Source organism: Homo sapiens, chromosome 2, assembly GCF_000001405.40.
Source record: "Homo sapiens chromosome 2, GRCh38.p14 Primary Assembly".
In the NCBI taxonomy this organism is placed as follows: Eukaryota; Metazoa; Chordata; class Mammalia; order Primates; family Hominidae; genus Homo; species Homo sapiens.
In genome coordinates, this window is record NC_000002.12 from 101,691,597 (window position 1) to 101,715,754 (window position 24,158).

Genomic DNA, 24,158 nt, shown 5'->3' on the forward strand with positions numbered 1-24,158 from the left:
AAATACTATTCTTTTTTTTTTTCTTAAGATGCGGTCTTGCTTTGTTGCCCAGGCTGGAATGCAGTGGTGCAGACATAGCTCATTGCTGTCCTGAATTTCTGGGCTCAAAGGATCCTCCTGCCTCATCCTCCTGAGTAGCTGGGACTACAGGTGTGCACCACCATGCCCAGCTAATTAAAAAAAAAAATTGTATGTGGCGGGTGTCACCACCTTGCCCAGGTTGTCTGGAACTCCTGGGCTCAAGCGATCTTCCTGCCTCAGCCTCCCAAAGTGTTAGGATTACAGGCGTGAGCCACCATGCCCAGCTTATTCTGTTTTTTATAAAATGTTCACAAAAACCTTTTCCATGAACACAGATACTTGGTAAACCTGTTTTTAAAAAAGTTTTCTGACAAGCTAAGTTCATCTAGCCCAGCTGCCTGCAGTGGTAACCTGCTCATTAACCCTCACTAGCTCATCCCCATTCCATTTTTCACTTTCCCTTCTCTTTGACTTGTGCTTCTGGGATCATCTCCCAAATAAACTGTACCAAAATCCTTGTCTCAGGATCTGTCTTTGAGAGACCCAAACTAAGCTAACTTCCTCTTGGCAGACGTGGCAACGTCCATGGCTCTGGTGGTTAGGGTAGGGTGTTGGAGCTGCCCTGTCTGCTTCTTCTTTTCCTGCCTTTTGATCTGTTTCTGCATCCCACGCCTTCCATCCTGTTGTGCACTAGAGTAGTTGCTTCCTTTTAATTCAACTGAGGCACTAGTTAAAAAGACTTTGACTCTACCAATGGTCATAGATGGTCTTTCAAGGGCTGAACCTGGCTGCCAAATCTACAGTACTATCCATGTACCAGTAACAACTTTCATCACTCATGCCACTCTCTTCCACCCTGGCTAAGAGATATGAACCATCATACGGTTGAGGCCAGGTTCGGACAGATCAGTGTCTCAAAGGCTCTCAGAGGACCTTTCGATCATCTCATCTAATCCCCTAATCTCACATGTTAGAAAACGGAGGGGCAGAGAGGATAAGCATTTGCTCAACACGTTGTCAACCAGTGAATAAAAAATCAGGTCTGCACTCCTCCCATTTAAGCTTTTTCTGAACCCACCACATTTCCTTGCTTGTTTGCCTCATTACGCTTGCTCATCAATACTTTCATTATTTATTTCCAGTTGACCCAAGTCAATGAGTTATATGTAGGCACTCCTCTGCCCTCCTTACCCTGCCCCATTTTGAGGTTGAAAATCTATTTCCCACCACATTTTTCAACAAAGTAAAACCTAGGCACTAAGTGATGGACAGGAGGTTGTTGCTGTTCACTTAAGGCTCTTGCATGATTAAGCTCTCCCTGGAATTTGTGTGTGGGTGCGAGAGGACTGCCAGTTTGGTCCATTGTATCCCAGGAAGATAAGCATTCATAGCTCGTGGCCTGCCGAGCTCAGGAGAAGCTCATCTGCCATCCAAACTCTGGGGAGCCAAGGCTAGGCTGTTTCTCAATTGATCTAATTGATAATCTGGGTTCTGTTTTCAATTGTGACACTGGGTCCCTGCCTCAGCTTTGCTTTCTGGTTCCACCTAACATGTCTCGCTTTCTTGCTTTCCTTCTTTCTCTCTCTCTCTCTCTCCCTCCCTCCCTCTGTCAATGGAGTCTCGCTCTGTTGCCGAGGCTGGAGTGCAGTGGCACGATCTCGGCTCACTGCAACCTCTGCCTCCCGGGTTCAAGCAATTCTTCTGCCTCAGCCTCCTGAGTAGCTGGGACTACAGGCACGCACCACCACTCCTGGCTAATTTTTGTATTTTTAGTCGAGACAGAGTTTCACCATATTGACTAGGCTGGTCTCGAACTCCTGACCTTATGATCCACCCGCCTCAGCCTCCCAAAGTGCTGGGATTATAGGCATGAGCCATCCCGCATGGCCAGCCTTCCTTCCTTCCTTTTTTTTTTTTTTTTTTTTTGACGGAGTCTTGCTCCATCGCCCAGGCTGGAGTGCAGTGTAGTGGTGCAATCTTGGCTCACTGCAACCTCTACCTTCTGGGTTCAAGCGATTTTCTTGCCTCAGCCTCCCAAGTAGCTGGGACTACAGGTGCGAACCACCACCAGGCCTGGCTAATTTTTTGTATTTTTAGTAGAGATAGGGTTTTGTCATGTTGGCCAGGTTGGTCTCGAACTCCTGGGCTCAAGTGATCTGCCTGCTTCGGCATCCCAAAGTGCTGGGATTACAGGCGTGAGCCACTGTGCCCAGCCATCTTGCTCTATTTCTCAGGGTTCTCTGAACTGAGTCCGCTGCCCAGTGGGGCCAGTCTCCTCATTCTTTTAACTTCTCATTCTTTGTCCAAGCAAGCTACATTGTTTTCCTCCCTATGTAAAATGTCAAATTGGTATTTATTTTCCACTGTATCACCTTGATTGTCCTTTTGGGTGGATTTATTTTGTGTCCTCAACAGATTATTAAGGACAAAGGCAGTGACAAGACTACCTCCTGGCATCATGTACTACCCACAGCTTTTTATGAACTGAGCACTTGTGTCCCCTCCCCCAATCCCTCCATTCATTTGTTGAAGCTTGAATCCCTAGTGTGGCTGTGTTTGGAGACAGGGCCTCTAAGGAAGTAATTAAGGTTAAGCAAGGTCTTAAGGGTGGGGCCCTGATGGATAGGATTAGTGCCTCATAAGAGACACCAGAGAACTCATTCTCTCTCCTCAAGCGTGCTGAGGAAAGGCCATGTGTAAACATAGTAAGAAGGAGGCTGCCTGCTAGCCAGAAAGAGAACCCTCACCAGAAATCGATTTGGTGAGAACTCTGATCTTGGACTTCTAGCCTCCAGAACTGCAAGAAAACAATTTTCTGTTATTTGAGCCACCCAGGCTATATAGTATTTTGCAATGGCAGCCCAAGCTAATACATGGGTGTTGATTGAAAACATGGCCCCTATGCTGGGCGCTAGAGTGGAGTTTCAAGCTGGGCATGTGTACACTGCTCCTGCATGAAAAGGTAATTAACTTTGGTTTTGGGTTCAAAACTAAATCTTCCTTTATTGCTACCATTTAGTAATTCCCATCCTTTACTCTGTTGTGACAGCATCCTCCCAAGTGTGGACATCCTCCCAAGCTCTGAACCACAAACAAATCTCTTACCTTCTTTTCTACACTGCCTTCTGGCATCGTATCAGATGCCAAGCCTTAGAGAATCTGCTGTCTCAAGACCTCTTATATTAATATCTCCTGTCACCCTTTATTACCCTGGCATAGGCTCTTGCCTCTTGCTTGTTCTTCTCATTTCCAGTCTTCATCTGGTATGCAGAGGAGGAAAGGGAGGCTCAGAAGAAACACATGCCAGGTTGCACAACTGACCAATAACTAGGGTTCAAACCCAGTTCAATTTTGCCCAAATCCAGCATACTTTCCACTAGACCTGTTTAGTACTCTTTCCATCTTGCTAAAATCTACACTGTTCTGCTTTGTACTATGGTTATTTGTGAAGCTGTCTTATGCCTATTATCAGTGTGTAAGCTCTTTGAGGGTAGGCTGTCTTGATCTTCCTGATATCCCAGGCAATGGCTAAGCCAGCGCCTTGCACTGTGTAGGCACTTCCAGAATAGGTAATGACTCTAAAGTGGGAGATAATGGTCACAATGGTGATATAGACATAGCAGCTTAGGAGAGAGACAGATTTAAAGAAAGCCTGTAGGAGAAGGAAGAGATGATTTTGAGTTGGGCTTGAGGTGATGAAGGAATTTGGATAGATTGAGAGGAAGGGTTGGTGTGAGGTGGGCTTCAATGTCATGGGTTTGGAGTTGAATCTGTGGAAGGAGGCTGCTTTGGAAGGGGCCCTGGCGTTTCTGCATCAGGTCTAGTTGTGCATAGTGAGCAAGTTACTTAACTTTTTTAAGGGCTGGTTTTCTAACATATAAAGTGGGAATAATGGAGTGTCATTTGGAATTAAGAGCAGAATAATGAGATAATACATGTGAAGGACTTAGCACGTTGTATCATCTATTATTAATAATAAACACTTAAAATGTTAGCAATAGGCCAGGTATGGTGGCTCATGCCTGTAATCCAGCACTTTGGGAAGCCGAGGTGGGCAGATCACCTGAGGTCAGGAGTTCGAGACCAGCCTGGCCAACATGGTGAAACCCTGTCTCTACTAAAAATAAAAAATTAGCTGGGCATGGTGGCAGGCACCTGTAGTCCCAGCTACTGGGGAGGCTGAGGCAGGAGAATTGCTGGAACCCAGGAGGCAGAGGTTGCAGTGAGCTGAGAGCACTCCACTGCACTCCAGCTTGGGTGACAGAGCAAGATTCTGTCTCAAAACAAACAAACAAACAAAAAACAATGTTATCAATAGTAAGATAGCCTGAAAGTTCAGATGTGTTTCTGTCTAGTTCTCTGAGTAAATTATTTTATTTACACTCATAGATAATGACATTGCTGCTGACAAAAACCAAAATTATCTAAAAGCACCAATACATTCATAGGAATACTTGGTTACTATAATTTTCCTTACAAATGGATACCAGGAGCCCCTCTATATATTTTACCCTTACCAGGGATTCTCATAGTCAAAAATTTCAGAAACCAAACTGTTGGGAAGCAGGATAGTGCTATACATATTCTGGGTAGAGCTAACTTGGCTGAATCAGAGATCTGGATTTTGGGAACAGGCTAACCTGGTGAAAATCCCTGCTCCACTTCCAGGCTGTGCTTTTAAGGAATTTGGACATACTCCTTATCTTTCAGTACTTTGCTTTCCTTACCTAAAAGGAGGATAACATTCCTTCAAGGCTGTAAATAGAGTGCTGTGTGTAAAGCACTCGGCACAACGCGTTTGTGTGGGGGAGACACAGTATGTGCATAAGAATTGGTAGATGATGATGGTGATGTTTATGAAAATCCAATCATGAATAGCCGGAGGCCACTGTTGTCAACGAGTGATCCCTGTAACAGCGACGTTAGCTACACTGAGAACTTACACATGCACATTCTCAGGCCCATTGCAGACCTCCTGAAACGAGAACTCGGGAGGCAGGGCCAGGCAATTGGCACTTTGCCTGAAGCACTCACGTTTTGAGAACACCTGTCAGGTAACAGGGAACCACTGAAAGTTTTTGGACGGTGGAGGAATGCGATATAAATGACTGTTGATTCACTGGCATTAAAGTGCCTAACTACCGACTGGCTTCCGAGGTTGCCGGAAGAAACCTGTTGGTTGATCCTTAGTGATCTCCAGGTTACAAAATGCGGGTTGGTACTAAGGGCCCCAAACACAGTGCTCACCTACCGAGCGCAGCCAGGAGCGCAGCGCCAGACAATTACAGGAGCTGTTTTGGATATGGCCGGGCAGCCCAGCGATGCTCAGCGAATCCCACAACTACAACCACAACCGTACCACACATTTAGCCTGCAAAAGCAGAGAAAGGAAAAGAAAACCGTGCAGGGAAGCCGGAAACGAGGGACTTAAGGGTCTCCTCTCTAGGGTGTGGGAGAGTGGGGGATGGGGCGAATGGGGCGAGGAGGGGGCGAGGATCGAGGGAGGCCCCTCCTCCGCTCGGCAACACCGGGTTCGGGTCCCTCTAGAGCCGGGACGCGGCCGGCGGGACACACCCTTGCCCTGGGAGACGCGAGGGTCCATGGCCTCTTAGTGTCGGTCCAGCTCAGTTTCGTGTCATTTGTTGTTAGCGCGAGGTAGGGGCGTTTCCCCACCCCAGCTCCTCCCCGGGGAAATCCCAGCCCGCTTCCTCCCCGCTCCTGCAGTTTTCGGGAGCGCCGTGCGGGGTCGAGCGCGGAGGCCGCACCCTGGGCGCCGGGCGTCGTGTCGGGACCGCTGCCCGCGCTGCCCGCCGGCGCGGCCATTGTTCGAGCCCCACCCCTGATGAATATTCACGCCGCGCGGGCGCCTCGGCCCGCGCCCTACCCGGCAGGGCTCGGGGTGTGAGTGCGTTTCCGCCGGTTTTTCCTGCCTGAGGAGGAAAGGGGGAGCTGTTTTCTCTCTCCTCAGAATATATTTTTGGTGTCCCGTTTCTCCTCCTCCAGCGCCGCCGCCGCCCCCTCCCTCCCCACCTCGCTCCCCGCCTCCGCCTCCGCCTCCCGGGTTATCTTTGTCTCGCTGCCTCGCGCTCACTCGCTCAACTCGGCGCCGCCGCGGCCCCACGCTCCGGGCCCGTCCTCGAGGCGCGCGGCGCGGGGCGCGGGCGCCGGGGCCTGAGGCGGCGGGCGACGCCCGGGGGCCTGACGGCCGGCCCCGCGCCATGGTGTGAGCGCCGCCGCCCGTGCACGCTCCGTCCGCCCTCCGCGCGGCCCGGCCGGCAGAGAGCCCCGAGCGGCCCGAGAGCGCAGCCGAGCCCGCCGCCGCCGCCCGCGGCCCCGCGAGGAGAGTACCGGGCCGGCTCGGCTGCCGCGCGAGGAGCGCGGTCGGCGGCCTGGTCTGCGGCTGAGATACACAGAGCGACAGAGACATTTATTGTTATTTGTTTTTTGGTGGCAAAAAGGGAAAATGGCGAACGACTCCCCTGCAAAAAGTCTGGTGGACATCGACCTCTCCTCCCTGCGGGTGAGTGGGCCCGCGAGCGGGCGCGCGGGGAGCGGGCAGCCGGCAGCCGGCAGCCGGGGCCGCGCCCAGGTCGGCCGGGCGCTCGGGCGCCGCCGTGGGCAGAGCCGCGGGGCGCGGCGGCCCCTTTGTCTTCCTGTGCGGGCTGGTGCGGGGCGGGCGCTACCCTCTACCGCCCCCACGCCCCGAGCCCGCCGCGCGACCCCCGGGCGCTGGGGGACCGCGCGGGGCGAAGCCCACCTCTTTTGTCACCGCCTTTTCTCTCCAACTGCCTTGCTTGATTTATTCATTTTTTTGGCTTCTTTTAAATGATAACCCCTCCCCTCCTTCCTCTCCAGGATCCTGCTGGGATTTTTGAGCTGGTGGAAGTGGTTGGAAATGGCACCTATGGACAAGTCTATAAGGTCGGTGTGGGCGCCTTCTTTGTTTCCCGTGGCATGTGGAAACTTCTTATTGGGGGACGAGGAGAGGGTGATAAACATGCTGCTGACTGGAGGCCACGCCGCTTGGCCAAAGTTGGGAGAGGGGTTTCTTTCGCCTTGCAGTCCCTCTGTTTTTGCACACCGAGTTTATATTCAGACTGGCCTTAAAAGACCTCATTTCCTGGCTTTGAGATAAGGAAATAAGCTACACTCTTAGGCATGCACTTTACTTCGATAAAATGGAAAAGCATTTTTTAAAAATAAGACAACCTGAATTTTTTCTTTTTTTCCCCAAATCCGGCCTTCTGAGTTTGTGTGTAAATTGAAATACAGTGGAGGCGGGCCTTGCCTCTGACGATCCTAAACCACTGCTTTGGCCATCGTGAAAATTGTCATCATGTTTCAGCCTCCACTCAGTGCTTGCCAGTTGCTCAAGGTGGGGAGTTTGGCGTTACCTGGGAATACTTTATAACTGTGGTTGTCATCCTTTCTATTGATGGATACGTATTTTGGGGAAGCAGGGAGGAGTGTGTGTTTGGGCAACAGCAGCAGGAAGAATTACAGTGTGGGGATTATAAAATCTGAATTCCAGGAATAACCTGTTTGACAGCTGTGTAATTGAAACAGAAATGACAGAGAGCGAAGAGAATATAGAGGATGCCCTGGTTTACACCCACCCAGGTCTTTCTCTTTTTTCAAAATTTTAACACCCACCCTCCACCCCAGCGATAAATGAAACTAGCAAATCTGGAGACTGAGTCTGCGCTGAGTAGCTGACACCTGATGTGACTAACAGTGTTCATTTTATACATTGTACAGTCTAGAGATTATGAAAGATGTGTAGGGAATGGAGGCGCAGGCCTTGAAAATTCAGAACGGAATGTTAAATTTTTCCTGTCTTAATTTGTTTCTCAATACTGAACGTTTTCTAAAAGTTTAATCTGCACTGGGGGAGTGTTCTGTTAGAGTCGGTACAAGGTTAGGGAAGCAGGGCTCTGTGGTTCACCATGAAGAATTGTCATTGTCTCATTAAAAATGGGTGGAGTTGGGGGGGTTGGAAGCCGACTGTAGACCTTTTCTTAGGCTAGATTAAGTGTGGATCTTATTGTCTCTTTTCTGCGTTGTGAGTAGAGTTTATCTATCACTTGAACGCCTCTCCTTAGCCTAGACTTCTAGCCTGGGTAGTGTACTGTACTGGACTGTGGTCCGAACTTGGGTCAGTATTCTTAGGTGATCTCAAGTGTATTAGCTTGTGTTTTGTTGGTTAACTGTTCGGGCCGGGGCCAGATTTTTGAATTTGAAAGAGAGCCCCGTTAACTCAGCTTGCCCGGCTCAACTGAATTTGGAAGGCTTTGGAAAATTTTGGAAAAGATTGTGTTGCAACTCACTGAGTGGTTGGTAACTGGCTAAAAGACATTCTCCCCGGTCTGTTGTTTGTTTAAGCACCAGTCATTTTTTTTCTAACCCAGTTTTTTCTCGCCAAATTAAATGGTGATTGTAGTCTTCCAAGTGAATTAGCCAGAGCTTGTTTTTGACCTGGCTACACAGTAGTTGGATTGTTTGTGTCTTACTTGGTCAGCATGGATGTTAAGGGCAGAGAAGTAAGCTAGAAGGCGATATAGTCTTTAAACCTTAAGAGAAAGGAAAGAATGAAACCCCAGTTTGTCTTTATTGGTTTTAAGAGGTGGGAGCTGTTTATGGTAAGAGTTTAGTCAGGTTCATTGTTATTTCCCCTCATTGCCATTTTGGTTCCATTCCCCGCAACCTTCCCGAGCTTTTGAACTAGGTTTGCTGAGCGCTAGCTACGTTTGGTAGGTATTTGGGATACTGGCATGACACAGCTCTCTGACTACAAAGTCGGTACAGTTGAGAATTTCTCTAATTATGCAAACCTAGGGAATTAAATCTGTGCAAAAGTTGCCTACAGTCCAGAACAAAATAGTGCCTGAGATTTTGCTCATAAGCAGTTACATTTTTATATTATTATGGAAAATTTCAAACATAAAGACTAGAGAGCTCAGTTTATCAGCAGATGACTAATCTTTTCTCATCTGTATTCTTCTTTTCCTCCTTTATTTTAATGTAAACCCCAAATGCTATTTCAGCTGTAAATACTTTAGAATGTTTCTTTTTTACACAATCACATTGTTGTTATCACACTTAGAAAAATGTCATATATTCACTATTAACGTTTTCTTGATTGTCTCATACATCAGTAAAATGTGTTTTTTTTTTTTTTTACTATAACAAGTTCTTTAATGTTTACAAGCGGGTACTGGGAACTTCAATCTTAGAAGTGGTGAAAATAGCAGAACATCTCTTTTTTTCCTCTTTTTAACTATTTAATTTCTAGAACCATTTACAATTATGTGTAGGAGTTAATTTAGGATTTTTGTTGGTATGATTTGCTTGTGGTAGATTTGGGATTACATTATTAACACTTTAGAGTTTGTTTATTGCTGCTAAACATCCTTTAGGATGAATAGCATTAAAGTTTGAGAAATACTTGTTGCTGAATTGTTATTTATAAAAAGGTCTTTATTTTTAAACATAATTTCAGGTAAAAAAAATCTGTAAGCTGAACAACTTGTCCTAATTTATTTTAGTGTCATATTTTCTATTTTTCATTAGCGCAGATGTTGCTTATTTTGAGGCAACTATATTTACATGAAGTGAGTGAGTTGAAAAGAGGGAGTTTTCTGAGATTTGATATGTCGTATGAAATAGCTTCTTTTGGGGCGAACGACTCTCCTGCAAAACTGTGCTAATGGTAGACCCCTCATTTATGGAAGAAAGGGAGGGGGAGGGGTGTGTGTGGCAGTAGGGCTAAGAGTGACCTTTGGGAATGGTAGAAAGGTTAGGGAGTAGTGGGAATTTCAAGGAGATGTTATTTGGACTTGAGGAGAGACATCTTCTTTAAGCATTGAGGAGCCACTGAAAGGTTTTGTTGGAATTGGGGATCCCTGAGAGTAGGGGACTTGATCCAGTTTTTTGGGGATAACTTCTAATTTTCTGTGTCTCTGACAACAGTGGTAAATGGTCTGGTATAGTTGAACAGTATGTAACTTCATCTTAAAAGAAGGAGGTGAAAAACGGGGTGTATTCTGTTTAGAGAAATTTATTTTCACCCTTAGGTTTTTGAGAGACGGATACTCATAAACTTAAAATTGTAAATTTCTCTTCACAAGGTTACATTCAGAGTACCATATATTTATAAGAGAAGTGTCTGGTATGATCAGTGAGGAGAATGATAGTGTGAAAAATTAAAACCAGAAATAAATCAAGTTTGTTTCCATGTTATTTTGGATTTTATTGTTATTTTGTTTTGAGACGGAGGTTTGCTCTGTTGCCCAGGCTGGAGTGCAGTGGCACCATCTCTACTCACTGTAACCTCCGTCTCCCGGGTTCAAGTGATTCTCCTGCCTCAGCCTCCTGAGTAGTTGGGATTACAAGTGCGTGCCATCACGTCCAGCTAATTTTTGTATATAGAGATGGGTTTTCACCATGTTGGCTAGGCTGGTCTTGAACTCCTGGCCTCAAGTGATCTGCACGCCTTGGCCTCCCAAAATGCTGGGATTGTATACAGGCATGAGCCACTGCACCCGGCCTTATTGTTATTTTAAATATTTATTTGACCATTTTTGTGTTCTTGGGGTAACTACTGTTATTTTGCATTTTGTGAGCATGTGATGGCTGGTGTTCCAAATGTCTTGAATAAAAGATTGTCAACCGGACGCGGTGGCTTACGCTTGTAAATCCCAGCACTTTGAGAGGCGCAGGTGGGCGGATCACTTGAGGTCAGGAGTTCGAGACCAGCCTGGCCAACATGGTGAAACCCCGTTTCTACTAAAAATACCGAAAAATTAGCCGGGTGTAGTGGGGGGTGCCTGTAATCCCGGCTACTCAGGAGGCTGAGACAGGAGAGTCACTTGAACCTGGGAAGTGAAAGTTGCAGTGAGCCGAGATTGTGCCATTGCACTCCAGCCTGGGCAACAAGAGTGAAACTCTGTCTCAAAAAAAAGAAAAGAAAAGAAGATTGCCAGCCTGAGGACAATTCTGAGTCTTGGAAGGACTGACAGAGGGGAAATCCGGTAACAGTAACGTGGAAGTCAGGGAGTTTAGAATCCAGCAGGTAAAATGTCTGAAATCAAGGTTCACTCAAAGGAGGGACCATAGATTTTGTGGAAGACTGACCCATTCTGATCTTGTCATTGGAGGAAGGGTACAATGTGGACCTTGGAGATTGAGGACAAGGGTACCCTAGGCCCAAAGACCTTGATGGTAAGGGGAGCTAACGCTAAGAGTTTGCTCATTCGATGCCCATTTGACACTGTGCTCATGTTAGACCCCTCATTTATTGAAGAAAGGGAGGGGAGAGGTGAGGTGTTTGTGTGTGGCAGTAGGGCTAAGAGTGACCTTTGGGAATGGTAGAAAGGTTAGGGAGTAGTGGGAATTTCAAGGAGGTATTATTTGGACTTGAGGAGAGACATCTTCTTTAAGCATTGAGGAGTCACTGAAAGATTTTGTTGGAATTGGGGATCCCTTAGAGTAGGGGACTTGATCCAGATGTGTGTTGGGAAGGAGCTGGTAAAATGGTTGGCCTTGGGCAGTGGTCCAGTGACAGGAGGTGAAGGCCGAGGCGGGATAGTGGCAGTGGTGGTAGAGAGGAGGAGAGGTTGGGGTGGATACTTGGGCATTACTCTTTGCTAGGTTTAACATGTTGAATTCACTCGTTCTCTGCAGGCTTTGGTATGTCCCTTTAAGTGGGTACACGGTTTGCCCACAGTATTAGGAGGAGCTTTGGGATTCCCAGCACTTTGGGAGGCTGAGACGGGCGGATCACCTGAGGTCAGGAGTTGGAGACCAGCCTAGCCAACATGGCAAAACCCCATCTCTACTAAAAATATAAAAAGTAGCCAGGCGTGGTGGTGTACGCCTGTAATCCCAGCCACTTGGGAGGCTGAGGTGGGAGAATCGCTTGAACCTAGGAGGTGGAGGTTGCAGAGAACTGAGATCATGGCACTGCACTCCAGCCTGGGCAACAGAATGAGACTCTGTCTCAAAAAAAAAAAAAAAAAAAAAGGCGGGGGTGGGGTGGTTAAAGTGCTAAAATTGCTTTCGATTGCTCAGTGGTAAAGTGCCATATAGATTGTCTGGCTTTTAAAAATCATTAGGGGCCGGGCACGGTGGCTCACACCTGTAATCCCAGCATTTTGGGAGGCCGAGGCGGGTGGATAACAAAGTCAGGAGTTCAAGACCAGCCTGTCAACATGGTGAAACCCCATCTCTACTAAAAATAGAAAAATTAGCCGGGCGTGGTGGCGCGTGCCTCTAGTCCCAGCTACCCAGGAGGCTGAGGCAGAAGAATTGCTTGAACTTCCCCAGGAGGTGGAGGTTGAAGTGAGCCGAGATAGCACCACTGCACTCTAGCCTGGGTGACAGAGCCAGACTCCTCCAAAAAGAAAAAATAAAATAAAAAAATTTGCATTTTGGAGCAAGTACTTAAACTTTTGTGAGGGATTCTCTAAGTGTTATCTTTTAAGTGTAGCATCTCTCGTTCTTAATTGGAGGTAAAGACATCCACTGGGGCAAAATGAATTTTGTAGAACCAGATGTTTTCATTAGGAGGAGATTGTGTCAGCTGATCTGCCACTGAGAGGCATGTTCAGGCTTGTTCTGAGACATAGATTTCCTTCATGTGGAAGATTCTGGACTTGGACAAGGTGGGAGGAAGCCAGCCCTGTTGAGCAAGCCCTGCTCTCAAAGAGTTTCAACCCTTACTTTCAAAAACTGTTTTACTAACTCAAACATCAAAAGCTCTACAGAAAAGCCAACCACCAAACAAAACCCTGCTGATGATGGGTTTTTAACTCCTTACTGCTTGAAACTTTGTGATAAATGTACATTTATTTGCCTAGCTGCAAACTCAACTCGTATTTTGCCTTTTTTCTTAACCAATATTTTATGTGTGTGTGTGTGTGTGTGTATATATATATATATATATATATATATTTTTTTTTTTTTTTTTTTTTTTGAGATGGTGTCTCGCTCTGTCGCCCAGGCTGGAGTGCAGTGGTGTGATCTCGGCCCACTGCAAGCTCTGCCTCCCAGGTTCAAGCGACTCTCCTGAGTAGCTGGGACTACAGGTGCATGCCACCAAGCCTGGCTAATTTTTGTATTTTTAGTAGAGATGGGGTTTCACCATATTGGCCAGGCTGGTCTCGAACTCGAGTCAGGGTAAAGTTTTTAGACATACAGGGAAAGATGACTAGGAAGAAAATGGAGAAGGCCAAGGTAATCTTATATTTATTACCAGTGACCATTGTGGCAGCAATGGTTGTTAGGTTTTATAATGTTATATCACTGCTCACCAAACAGAATTTGTTCTTTTGTTATGGAGCAGGTTCAGTAATAAGAGTTGGTGAGTATTATTCAGAAGAGAAGCTGCCTCTTGGGTTGAGTAATTAATAAAGTGATTCATTGGGAGGTAGTTTTTGTCTGTAAGAATCTCTAAGGAATGATCACAATGATAAGTTTTAGGACATCCCGTTTTAAAAACTGGACTCTTACAAACTTTGTTATCTAGATAGCATTAGGTATAACTAAATTGGGGAGACAAAAGTGAAAAACGATTAACCATATAAGGGTGGTTTCATGCAGGTACTGTGGATGTGTGCTGGGCCCTGTTCTGAGAGTTAGATACACAGTGGTAAATGAAGCCGATGATATATCTACCCTTATGGAACTCAAGAAAAACAGGGGGATGGACACAAAATGCCAGCTGTGGGATGTCAGTCATACATTCTGTGTTGTCTGCATCTCCCTGGGTTCCCTGCCCAGCACACTTGTGTTCAGACACAATGAATGCACTGACACATGGAAACAGCACATACTGCAATGTGTTCATTTTAAGTGGCTCAACCTCATCAGCAGGGCTTCTCTGTGCTTTAAATTACAGTAAAAACAAATGAAAAGTGAAATGAAAAGGTAGACATATAGAATATCAGTCTACTTTTTTTACTCGTAGAATCAAAAGACATTTTCCCATGTCAAATTGCTGTAAAAGTTTTTGTTTTTGTTTTCTTTTTAAAAAAGTATAAGAAACTCAGGTGATATAAAAGTTTTTATATACTTTTAATTTCAGAAATGATCTTGCTGTGGTCAGCAGACCACACTTTGAGGAACACTGAACTGGCAGGATTGAATTTGTAGCAGGGCTCTTAGTAAACTGTGGGTGGTTGGTGTGTTAGTGAGCTGGAGAATTGAGGACTGTTGTTTGTGCCTAGTATTTGGTTCTCCCACCCTTTGAACATTGGGGAGCTACAGCAGGTGCTGCTTACAGCTTTATGCTTTAGTGCCAAAACGTCTTTGACCCCTGTGCTTTGGAACTGTCTCAGATATGGCTAAATATGAACAAGTTATCCTATTAAATTTAAATAAATGAAAGAAAAACCCCACTTTTACATTATAACTTTAAAAAATCCTTCATATGATAAATAGGGCCTTAACTTACCAGTTATGAATCGATAGTTATAATCAAATGATACTAAAGCGCTCATACCAAAAGTCAGAGTCATCCTGTTCTCCAGAAGCATGTTTTCAGTGCTTTTAGCTGCTACATCTGAAATTTATTGCTATATTTGTAAATTATGTACTTATGTGGCTAGTTCATTTATCAGTTTTATACATTTATTGACGTCCTCTAGCAGTAGTTGTAGTTATTGAACTAGTTAGTTCAATAGTAGTTGAATATTTAACTCCTATACTTGCTGCCTCCCTTAAGTGGGCATACCATAATTTTGGGTTAAAGTGATAGTTGTTTCTTTTATCATGACTATGTAAATACCATTTATATGTGAGCTAAACAGTCTCATACGATTACATTTCCTTTTTTAAACAACACCCCTGCCCCCACATCGCTTTTAGTTTTTCATTTGCTTAGTTTTCTTTGTACCTATCATCACCTTCCTCCTCAGATACCCTAAAAGGTATAACAAATGCCTAACAAAGTTTAGTCTTTATCACATTTTCCAAATGCTTAATTTAACACCACACGTCAGATAATTTATTGTTGCAAGATAACCTGTTGATTTCAATTTTTTCTCCCTGGAGTTTCCTCATAGCTATGCAGGTATGGTTGCCCCTGGACCTGGCATGTAGCTATTATTGTCCTGGAATGTCTGTTTCCTGGATACTGCAGTCTTCCTTTTTGGTTTACTATCTTACTTTCCTGAAGCACATCCTCTAGTAGTTTTAAAAGAAAGGGTATATGGGTATTAAGGTTTTAAGTCCTTGTATGGCTGAAAATCCCTTTTTCTTATCACTGCCTCATCTTCTCTTGTCTGGAACATAACTGCTTTCGATTTCTTTAGGGACTAAATCTCTGGTTTCCTGTGGGTATGGAGTGATGTGAGGCAGTTACCAGACTGTGTAAGGCAGAGAAAGGGGACCTGGGGCTTTCAACCACTAAATATGCAAACTTTCATCAGTTCTGATTTTGGCCTTGCACCTCACTTGGTATTGGTTTATTCCAAATGATGACCTTGTCAGGGTTTTGTAGGTCCAACTGTCTCACTTCTTTTTGGTATCCTTTAGTAGGCACTTAGGTTGTAATTTTTACCTCTTAGTTACTACTCCATCCACTTTTTATTTTATCTTTTTTTTTTTTTTTTTTGAGACAGTCTCACTGTTGCTTAGGCTGGAGTGCAGTGGCGCCATCTTGGCTTACTGTAGCCTCCGCCTTGTGGGTACAAGCAATTCTCTTGCCTCAGCCTCCCAAGTAGCTGGGACTGCAGGTGCGGACCACCATGCTCGGCTAATATTTGTACGTTTAGTAGAAATGGGGTTTGACTATGTTGGCCAGGCTGTTATCGAACTCCTGACCTCAGGTGATCCCCCTGCCTGGGCCTCTCAAAGTGCTGGGATTACAGGCATGAACCACTGCCCCTGGTCTGCCTGTCTGTCTGTGTCTTTTGAGACAGAGTTTTGCTCTGTCCCCCAGGCTGCAGTACAGTGGTGTGATCACAGCTCACTGCAGCCTCAACCTCCTGGGCTCAAGCAAACTTCCCACATCAGCCTCTTGAATAGCTGGGACTACAGGTGTGCACCACCATGTCCAGCTAAGTTTTTTTTTTTTGTTTTTTTTTTTTTTTGAGACGGAGTCTCGCTTTGTCGCCCAGGCTGGAGTGCAGTGGTGCAATCTCGGCTCACTGCAAGTTCTGCCTCCCGGGTTCACGCCATTCTCCTGCCTCAGCTTCCCGGTTAGATGGGACTATAGGTGTCTGCCACCACGCCTGGCTAATTTTTTTTTTTTTTTTGTATTTTTAGTAGAGATGGGGTTTCACCGTGTTAGCCAGGATAGTCTCTTATCTCCTGACCTGGTGATCCGCCCACCTCGGCCTCTCTAAGTGCTGGGATTACAGGTGTGAGCCATCGCGCCCAGCCCACGTCCAGCTAATTTTTAAAATTTTTAGTAGAGATGGTATTTGACCATCTTGCCCAGGTTACTGGACTAAAGTGGTCTGCCTACCTCGGCCTCTGACCATCCACTTTTTAGCTGTCAAAACCTGATAGAAATGATCTCTACTACCTCTTTTCCCCTTTATATCTTTATTCTTTTGTTTACTTTAAAATCATTTTTATGGGAATTAATTCTTAATAACTCATGTGATCAGTCCACCATGTTTAACCAAAAGTTGTGTCTTTGATTTTGGACTTAGGGTTTTGCTCAGGTGTTTGTTTCTTTTCATCCAGAACAATAACAATACCAACAGAACAATAACAATACCAATGAAACAATAACAATAACAACAAATAAAAAATGAAAACAAGGGTAAGCAGTGCGTAACCTCTGTGACCTTACTGTGTGACCTCTGTCAGAGATACTTAATTTGGGAGGTGCAAGCCGAGGGAGATGAGGATGAGGAATAAGGAAAGTGAGGCAGGATGCCAAGCAGTGCCATGGTACGTATTAATTACCATGCTGGCTGCTGCTTTGAACAAACCTTTGAGAGATAGAGGAGTTTGTTCAGCAGTATTTTTTTTTTAAAGCAGCTTTATTGAAGTATGTTTTCTGTATTATGAAATTAACCCAATTCAAGCTTACATTTCAGTGATATTTAGTAAATTTACTGAGTGGCACAACCATCACCACAAATCAATATTGGAACACTTTGATCATGCCAGTTAGATTCCTCGTAGTGATTTACAGTTAATCCCTGTTCCAACCCAGAGCCCCAGGCAACCAATAATCTGCCAGTATTAATTTGCCTTTTTTGAACATTTCATTTAAATGGAATCCTACAACGTATGGTCGCCTGTGTTTAATGTTTTTGAGGTTCGACCATGTAGCAGTGTGGTTCTTTGTTCCTTTTTATTGCTGAATTTTAGGCTATGGTTGTACCACATTTGTTACCTGTTCACCAATTGATAGGCATGATGTTGATGGAACTGCACCTTAAGTCATCCACAGAAGGGAGAAAGGAGGGGGAATTTATCTGTTTGGGTCTTCTTGTTTCCCTTTAGTGTAACCAAACACTTGGTTCTGATGACCCTGAGTGACTGTCTGGATGAGGGAAAAGCAGTTGAAGTTTTGTGTCCCTGAATCCTTTATCTTCCCCAGTCTTATTATTAGTCATTACTGTGAGTTTATTTATTTATATTTTGAGATGGAGCCTCACTCTGTCGCCCAGGCTGGAGTGCAGTGGCACAATCTTGGCTCACTGCAGCCTCCACCTCCTGGGTTCAAGTGATTCTCCTGCTTCAGACTCCCAAGTAGCTGAGATTACAAGTGTGAGCTACCACGCCCAGCTAATTTTTGCATTTTTAGTAGAGATGGGGTTTCGCCCTGTTGGCAAGGCTAGTCTCGAACTCCTCACCTCAGGTGATCTGCCCGCCTCGGCCTCCCAAAGTGCTGGGATTACAGGCGTGAGCCACTGTGCCTGGCTTTAAGTCATTTTTAAAAACAAGAATACAGTTTCTTTCTTATCGCTATGAAGACAAACTATTCACTATCAGCGAGGTCACTGGTAGTAGGAACTAGGCCAAACTAGTTTTTCCTTCTATTTTTGGGAGGAATTCCCTTGTATAATAGCCAGCTATTTACCATGTGATGCTAGACTGCAGTTTTCCTTTATCTCAAGCAGAAGCTATTGTCTTGCCTGGATTTTGAAAAAACAAAGCAAAATATGTTATCTTTGGTCAGAAGGATGTATCCCAAGTTAAATAAATGATTTGCTATGTGTTTTGGGCGAATAAGTTTGCTCATTTGTTTCAAGTGTATTTTTCAGAGTATTTTTCTTATATTTTATTCTTAAGTTTTTTTGTGATACCTTTTGTTAGGGCCTTACTGCATTCAGATTACATAAAATTAAGTTAAGTAATAGTTTATTTTTTGAAAATTCTTATACTGCAGAGCTTTCGTTCTTACTTGCTGTGACAGTGACAGAATACTGTTGACTACCAGAGCCCTTCTCCCCCTGAGTTTTTCTGAGACTCTTTATGTGTAATTGGTGTGTAGTTTTATGACTTCAATTTTGAGAGGTATGTCAAAGACTGAATATTATCTGAGTTAGGGCTGTGCATCAAGGTACTTAATAATTTGTTGGAGATCCCGGTTGAATATTGCCTGAGGTTGAGTGTGTACATTTAAGTGACACAATTCACTGGGTGTATTCATTCACCTGCTAGGGCATGACTCAGATTCTAGGGCCATTCCAGTTTGAACTTGGCATATTAGAGCATCTTAGTTCTCTATATGTACACATTTTCTCATTTATTCTTGTTGCCTTCCTTGATTCCCAGAAAAATCTGACAGGTGTTCAGCTCTTTACTCTTCAGTGATTTCAAGGCTTGGTTTCTGTTTCTTGTTTCACTGTCTACAGATATTTTGAGCCTACTCTGCTAGTCAAGATTTCCTTTATTTATTTATCTAGTACTTAATGTGTTTATAATATGTGCCAGGCACCATGCGAGGCTTGCTCACTGGTGACAATGGACAAGAAAGGCAGTCAGCTTATGCCCTTGTGTAGCGTATAGCCTAATGTGTAAGGCAGAAAATGAACACACAGTTAAAGAGGATGATATTGCAGATGGGGAATAGCAGGGGCCTATGGGAGTGTGTGACATGACAGCTAAGTTAGAGCTGATAAAACAGATACGGTGGTATGCACAGTGAAGCTTTATGATTTCAATTCAGATGCTCTAGATGAGGCATAGATATATGTGGAGCAGTGAACAGTCTGCTAGGAGTTAAAACCCACTGAGCTGATGATTCATCATCTTGGTTAATACTACTTTGAATAAAGATAGGAGGGGTGTGTTCCATTGATTATGGTAATTGACTGTCTTCATTCAGTTTGCCTTGAGCCAGCTGTCTCTCAGGAAGCCTTGCCTCCTACATCTGCACTGTTTGGTGCTCCTTGCATTTGAATCTCCTGTATCAGTTAGAAGTTAGCATCCTGAACATTCTCATATGGGTGAAGGAGGGGCCTTCGTCAGGCTTCAGATTGTCTTATGAGCAATATCTGGAATAATATTTGGTAAACAGCTGGCCTGAAGTAGGCCACATTCTGCCCTACATTACACATGGGGAGACTGCTTTGTTCAGCTGCTGGTCCCCACGACGTTAGGGCTGAAAGGGACCTCTGTAAAATGGGAACAATGGTGTACAGGTTTGTGATATTCACATAGTTTTTAATAAGTTTCTGTAGTTCCGGTTATATAACAAAATAATTAAAAGATAAAGTTTTTTTGCTTTTTTTTTTAAGACAGAGCTGCAACCTCTGCCTCCAGGGTTCAAGCAATTCTCCTGCCTCAGCCTGTCATGTAGCTGGGATTACAGGCATGCAGCACCATGCCTGGCTAATTTTTGTATTTTTAGTAGAGATGGGTTTTCACCGTGTTGATGAGGCTGGTCTCCAAATCCTGACCTCAAGTGATCTACCTGCCTTGGCCTCCCAAAGTGCTGGGATTACAGGCGTGAGCCATTGGGCCTGGCCTTGCTCTTTGATAATATGGACAAAAGAGAATTTTATTTTTCTAATCCGATTAGGTAAAATGATGTTGTGGTTTTTTTTTGATGTTGAGTGAGATATTTCTAACCATTCTCTAATCATACTGGAAAATGGGACTTTGTAGTCCCATTAGTATGCTGGCTTTCAAAGTGTGAAATTCTTTTTGCATTATTTTGTATAAGCAAGGGCTTTGTCAGTCATCAACTCCAAGATTGTATTAGACGTTTCATTAGTTTTCTAGTTAATTAGCTGAAAATATATTCTTATTGTTATATGAAAAAAGCAACTTAAATGTTGAATTTTAAATAGGATGCTTATTTATTTTTTTCTTGTCTTTATACTGTTTATTTTCTTGCTGGCTCTATCAGCTAAGGACTTGATCTCATTGGTAGTCTGTCTTGCCCTTTTTTTTTTTTTTTTTGCTTTTTAATGATTCCTTTTGCTGACTTATTACCTATAACTTCTACTTAGGTTGTTTTATAGGTTGCTTTAGGTTTGTAGCACATGTTTTTAACTTACCACAGTCTACCTTCAAATGATATTATACCTTACTATGGTATACCTCCATTTCTACCCACTTGGCCTTATAGTTTTTTAGTATACATTTCACTTTTATTTATTATTTATTTATTTTTATTTTTTTGAGATGGAGTGTCGCTCTGTCACTCAGGCTGGAGTACAGTGGTGCGATCTCGGCTCACTGCAACCTCTGCCTCCCGGGTTCAAGTGATTCTCCTGCCTCAGCCTCCCGAGTAGCTGGGACTACAGGCGCAGGCCACCATGCCCGGCGAATTTTTTGTATTTTTAGTAGAGACGGGGTTTCACCGTGTTAGCCAGGATGGTCTTGATCTCCTGACCTCGTGATCTGCCTGCCTTGGCCTCCCAAAGTGCTGGGATTATAGGCGTGAGCCACTGTGCCTGGCCCTATTTTTTATTTTATTTTTTTTTGAGACAGTATCTCCCTCTGTCACCCAGGCTGGAGTGCAGTAGCATGATCTTGGCTCACTGCAACCTCCATCTCCCAGGTTCAAGTGATTCTTGTGCCTCAACCTCCTGAGTAGCTGGGATTACAGGTGTGTACCACCATGCCTGGCTAATTTATTTTTAGTAGAGATGGATTTTCACCATGTTGGCCAGGCTGGTCTCAAACTCCTGATCTCAGGTGATACACCCATCTCGGCCTCTCCACGTGCAGGGATTACAGGTGTGAGCCACTGCGCCAGGCCGAGAAATTTGTTTGTTGAGGAATATCAAAGATCCTGGCCTTGGAACATTGATAGTTCACTTTGAACTTCAAGGGTTGATTAATTAAAAGTTTCTGTTAAACCAAAATCTTTTTTTTTTTTTTTTTGAGACAGAGTCTCACTCTGTCACCCAAGTTGGAGTGCAGTGGGCACCATCTTGGCTCACTGCAACCTCCACCTCCCAGATTCAGGCAGTTCTCGTGCCTCAGCCTCCTGAGTAGCTGGAATTACAGGTACCTGCCACCACACCTTGGCTAATTTTTGTATTTTTAGTAGAGACGGGGTTTCATCATGTTGGCCAGACTGATCTCAAACTCCTGACCTCAGGTGATCCACCCACCTCCTCGGCCTCCCAAAGTGCTGGGATTACAGGTGTGAACCACTGCGCCTGGCCTTAAACCAAAATCTTGATTGTGCTTAAAATATTTAAGTAAAAAGGTACTTTGCTATGCCAGTGTTCCAGTTTGACAGTGATCAATTAAAAAATTTTTAATCCCTCTGCTGAGTGCAGTGGCTCATTCCTGTAGTCCCAGCACTTTGGGAGGCTTAGGTGGGCGGATCTTTTGAGGTCAGGAGTTCAAGACCAGGCTGGCCAAATGGTGAAACTCATCTCTACTAAAAGTACAAAAAAAATGAGCTGGGCACGGTGGCGCATGCCTGTAATCCCAGCTACTTGGGAGGCTGAGGCATGAGAATTGCTTGAACTCAGGAGGCAGAGGTTGCAGTGAGCTGAGATCACGCCACTGCACTCCAGCCTGGGGTGACAGAGTGAGACCTTGTCTAAAAAAAAAAAAAAAAATGCTGGGTGCGATGGCTCAGGCCTGTAATCCCAGCACTTTGGGAGGCTGGGGCAGGTGGATTGCTTGAGGTCAGGAATTCAAGACTAGCCTCACCAGCATGGCGAAACCCCGTCTCTACTAAAAATACAAAAATTAGATGGGCATGGTGGGTGTGCCTGTAATCCCAGCTACTTGGGAGGCTGAGGCAGGAGAATTGCTGGAACCCGGGAGACGGAGGTAGCAGTGAGCTGAGGTCGCGCCACTGCACTCCAGCCTGGGTGACAGAGCGAGACTCCATCTCAAAAAAAAAATTTTCTAATTTCCCATCATCTGATCCTACCAAAAATAACAAATACCTAGGGGGTTTTTCATTTCATTTACAATCTGGAACCTCATATGGCCTTATGACAAGAGCCAATATTTTAATATCTTTGTCTTAGAACCTCACTCATACAATAGAGACAAACCTCAAATCCAATCCAGAGAGCATTGCTTCAAGGAACAGTGGTGACTTAAGATAGGTTGGAAGTCTAATGGTGCTGCGGAATGCTAAACAATCAAGCCTTTTCAGGTTTAGTTTAATAGTTGTTATTCTTATACTTTCAAAACCATTTTCATGTAATTTTTTTCAACTATTTATTAAATGTTAGTAAAAGAGGAACTACCTGAACACAGATTTTGTCCAAGCAACCTGTTTAGAATAAATTATAGGGAAGGAAGTTTTCGCTAAAATGCATTTCCTGTACTTGTGAAGAAACTTGTTGAGAAATTAACTTTGAGAAAGTTATGCCATCTTTATGCAACATATTTATATAGTTAAGAAACATAATTTTCTTACATTTCAAAAGAGGCTGTTTGACAAAAACGGCTAGAAGACCCCTCCCTACACAGTGAGAAATAACATTCTACAATTATGTTATATAACTAATCATAATAATTTTACTTTCTCCAAATAACTATAAGCACCTTATCTTCCCCGTTATCAAAAAACCGTGAGAAAATGAGCCTTCCTAAGAAGTTTGACACTGATACCAGCCAACTCTAAATCAAAATGGAAATTAACATTCCTTTCTAAATCATGTGCAGAATTCATTTGAACATTCTGATAATTTCCCTATAAACTCTGATACGTAAATGTTGGGGCTAGGAGGAGGCTTGAAGATTATCTTGTTCAAACTCTCTGGTAAAAGAATGTATCTAAGATTTGTTCCATAGGCTGCAGTCCACTTCGGGAATCATGGAACTCATCAGTCACATAAATGGAACTAAGATACCTTCTCATAGTTAAAAAAACCAGCTTAAGAAATTCTTGCCACCCAACTTTTCTTCTATGAATCTCTCAATAATTTTTCACTATTCAGAGAATGTGGTAAAAATAAGAGGCTTCAAGACCCAAAAGAACAAATGTATGGGAACTCCATACCTGCATTAGTCTGTTAGGGCTGCCATAACAAAAGGTCACAGGCTGGGGGCTTCAGTAATATAAGTCATTTTCTCATAGTTCTAGAGGACAGAAGTCCAAGATTGAGGTGTTGGCAGAGTTGGTTTTTCCTGAGGCTCCTTTTTCTAATTTGCAAATGGCCACCTTCTTAGCCTTGCCTTTTGTGCACCCCTCCCTGGTGTCTGTGTCCAGATTTCTTCTTACAAGGACAGCAGTCAGATTGGATTAAGGTTCACTCTAACAGCCTTATTTTAATTCAGTCACTTCTTCAAAAGGCCTTGTTTCTAAGTCTCAATCACTTTCTGAGGTACTGGAGATGAGAGTTTCAACATGTCAGTAATTTTTGGGGGATCACGGTTTCAGCCCATAACAATACTGTAAAGTTTTTCTTGTACTGAAGACACAGAAAATAACTTTACTCTAAAGTGCTAATGATTTATTAACTAACACAGGTAGAATATCCCTTATCTGAAATGCTTGGGACCAGAAGTAGTTCAGATTTTTTTGGATTTTGGAATGTTCATATTATATTTCATGGTATAATATCTCTAATCCAAAAGTCTGAAATCCAAAATGCTCCAGTGAACATTTAGTTTGAGAGTCATGTTGATGCTCAAATGGTTTAAAATTTTGGATTAGGGATACTCAACCTGAAAATTTTGAACCTTGTTTTTTTAAACTAAAAAATACATAGGGTCTTCTAATCCAGGGGTCCCCGACT

At 43.9% G+C, this 24,158-nt stretch overlaps 1 protein-coding gene across 55 annotated transcripts in view, besides 4 other annotated features; it reads left to right on the forward strand.

The window, feature by feature from the left end:
- Nucleotides 5,585-5,744: a silencer, noted in NCBI's record as "silent region_11827". NCBI's record gives its function as "represses an Ori minimal core promoter by ATAC-STARR-seq in GM12878 lymphoblastoid cells {active_cell/tissue: GM12878}" and the evidence as "EXISTENCE:reporter gene assay evidence [ECO:0000049][PMID:35858748]".
- MAP4K4 (mitogen-activated protein kinase kinase kinase kinase 4) overlaps nt 6,111-24,158 on the forward strand; it is a 196,984-nt gene continuing 178,936 nt past the window's right edge. For 36 of the 55 annotated variants that reach the window (NR_169279.1, NR_169280.1, NR_169281.1 and 33 more), the window contains exons 1-2: nt 6,111-6,541; nt 6,877-6,942. Coding sequence is in view for 51 of the 55 variants with exons in the window: in NM_001395002.1 (NP_001381931.1) it covers nt 6,485-6,541; nt 6,877-6,942 (123 nt within the window). In the remaining 4 variants the exon portion in view is untranslated. Of the gene's footprint in view, nt 6,542-6,668; nt 6,943-24,158 lie in introns of those variants that run through there. The other 19 variants (NM_001384579.1, NM_001384555.1, NM_001384572.1 and 16 more) reach the window with 1 other exon arrangement.
- Nucleotides 6,145-6,294: a silencer, noted in NCBI's record as "silent region_11828". NCBI's record gives its function as "represses an Ori minimal core promoter by ATAC-STARR-seq in GM12878 lymphoblastoid cells {active_cell/tissue: GM12878}" and the evidence as "EXISTENCE:reporter gene assay evidence [ECO:0000049][PMID:35858748]".
- Nucleotides 12,146-12,205: an enhancer, noted in NCBI's record as "active region_16303". NCBI's record gives its function as "activates an Ori minimal core promoter by ATAC-STARR-seq in GM12878 lymphoblastoid cells {active_cell/tissue: GM12878}" and the evidence as "EXISTENCE:reporter gene assay evidence [ECO:0000049][PMID:35858748]".
- Nucleotides 12,516-12,585: an enhancer, noted in NCBI's record as "active region_16304". NCBI's record gives its function as "activates an Ori minimal core promoter by ATAC-STARR-seq in GM12878 lymphoblastoid cells {active_cell/tissue: GM12878}" and the evidence as "EXISTENCE:reporter gene assay evidence [ECO:0000049][PMID:35858748]".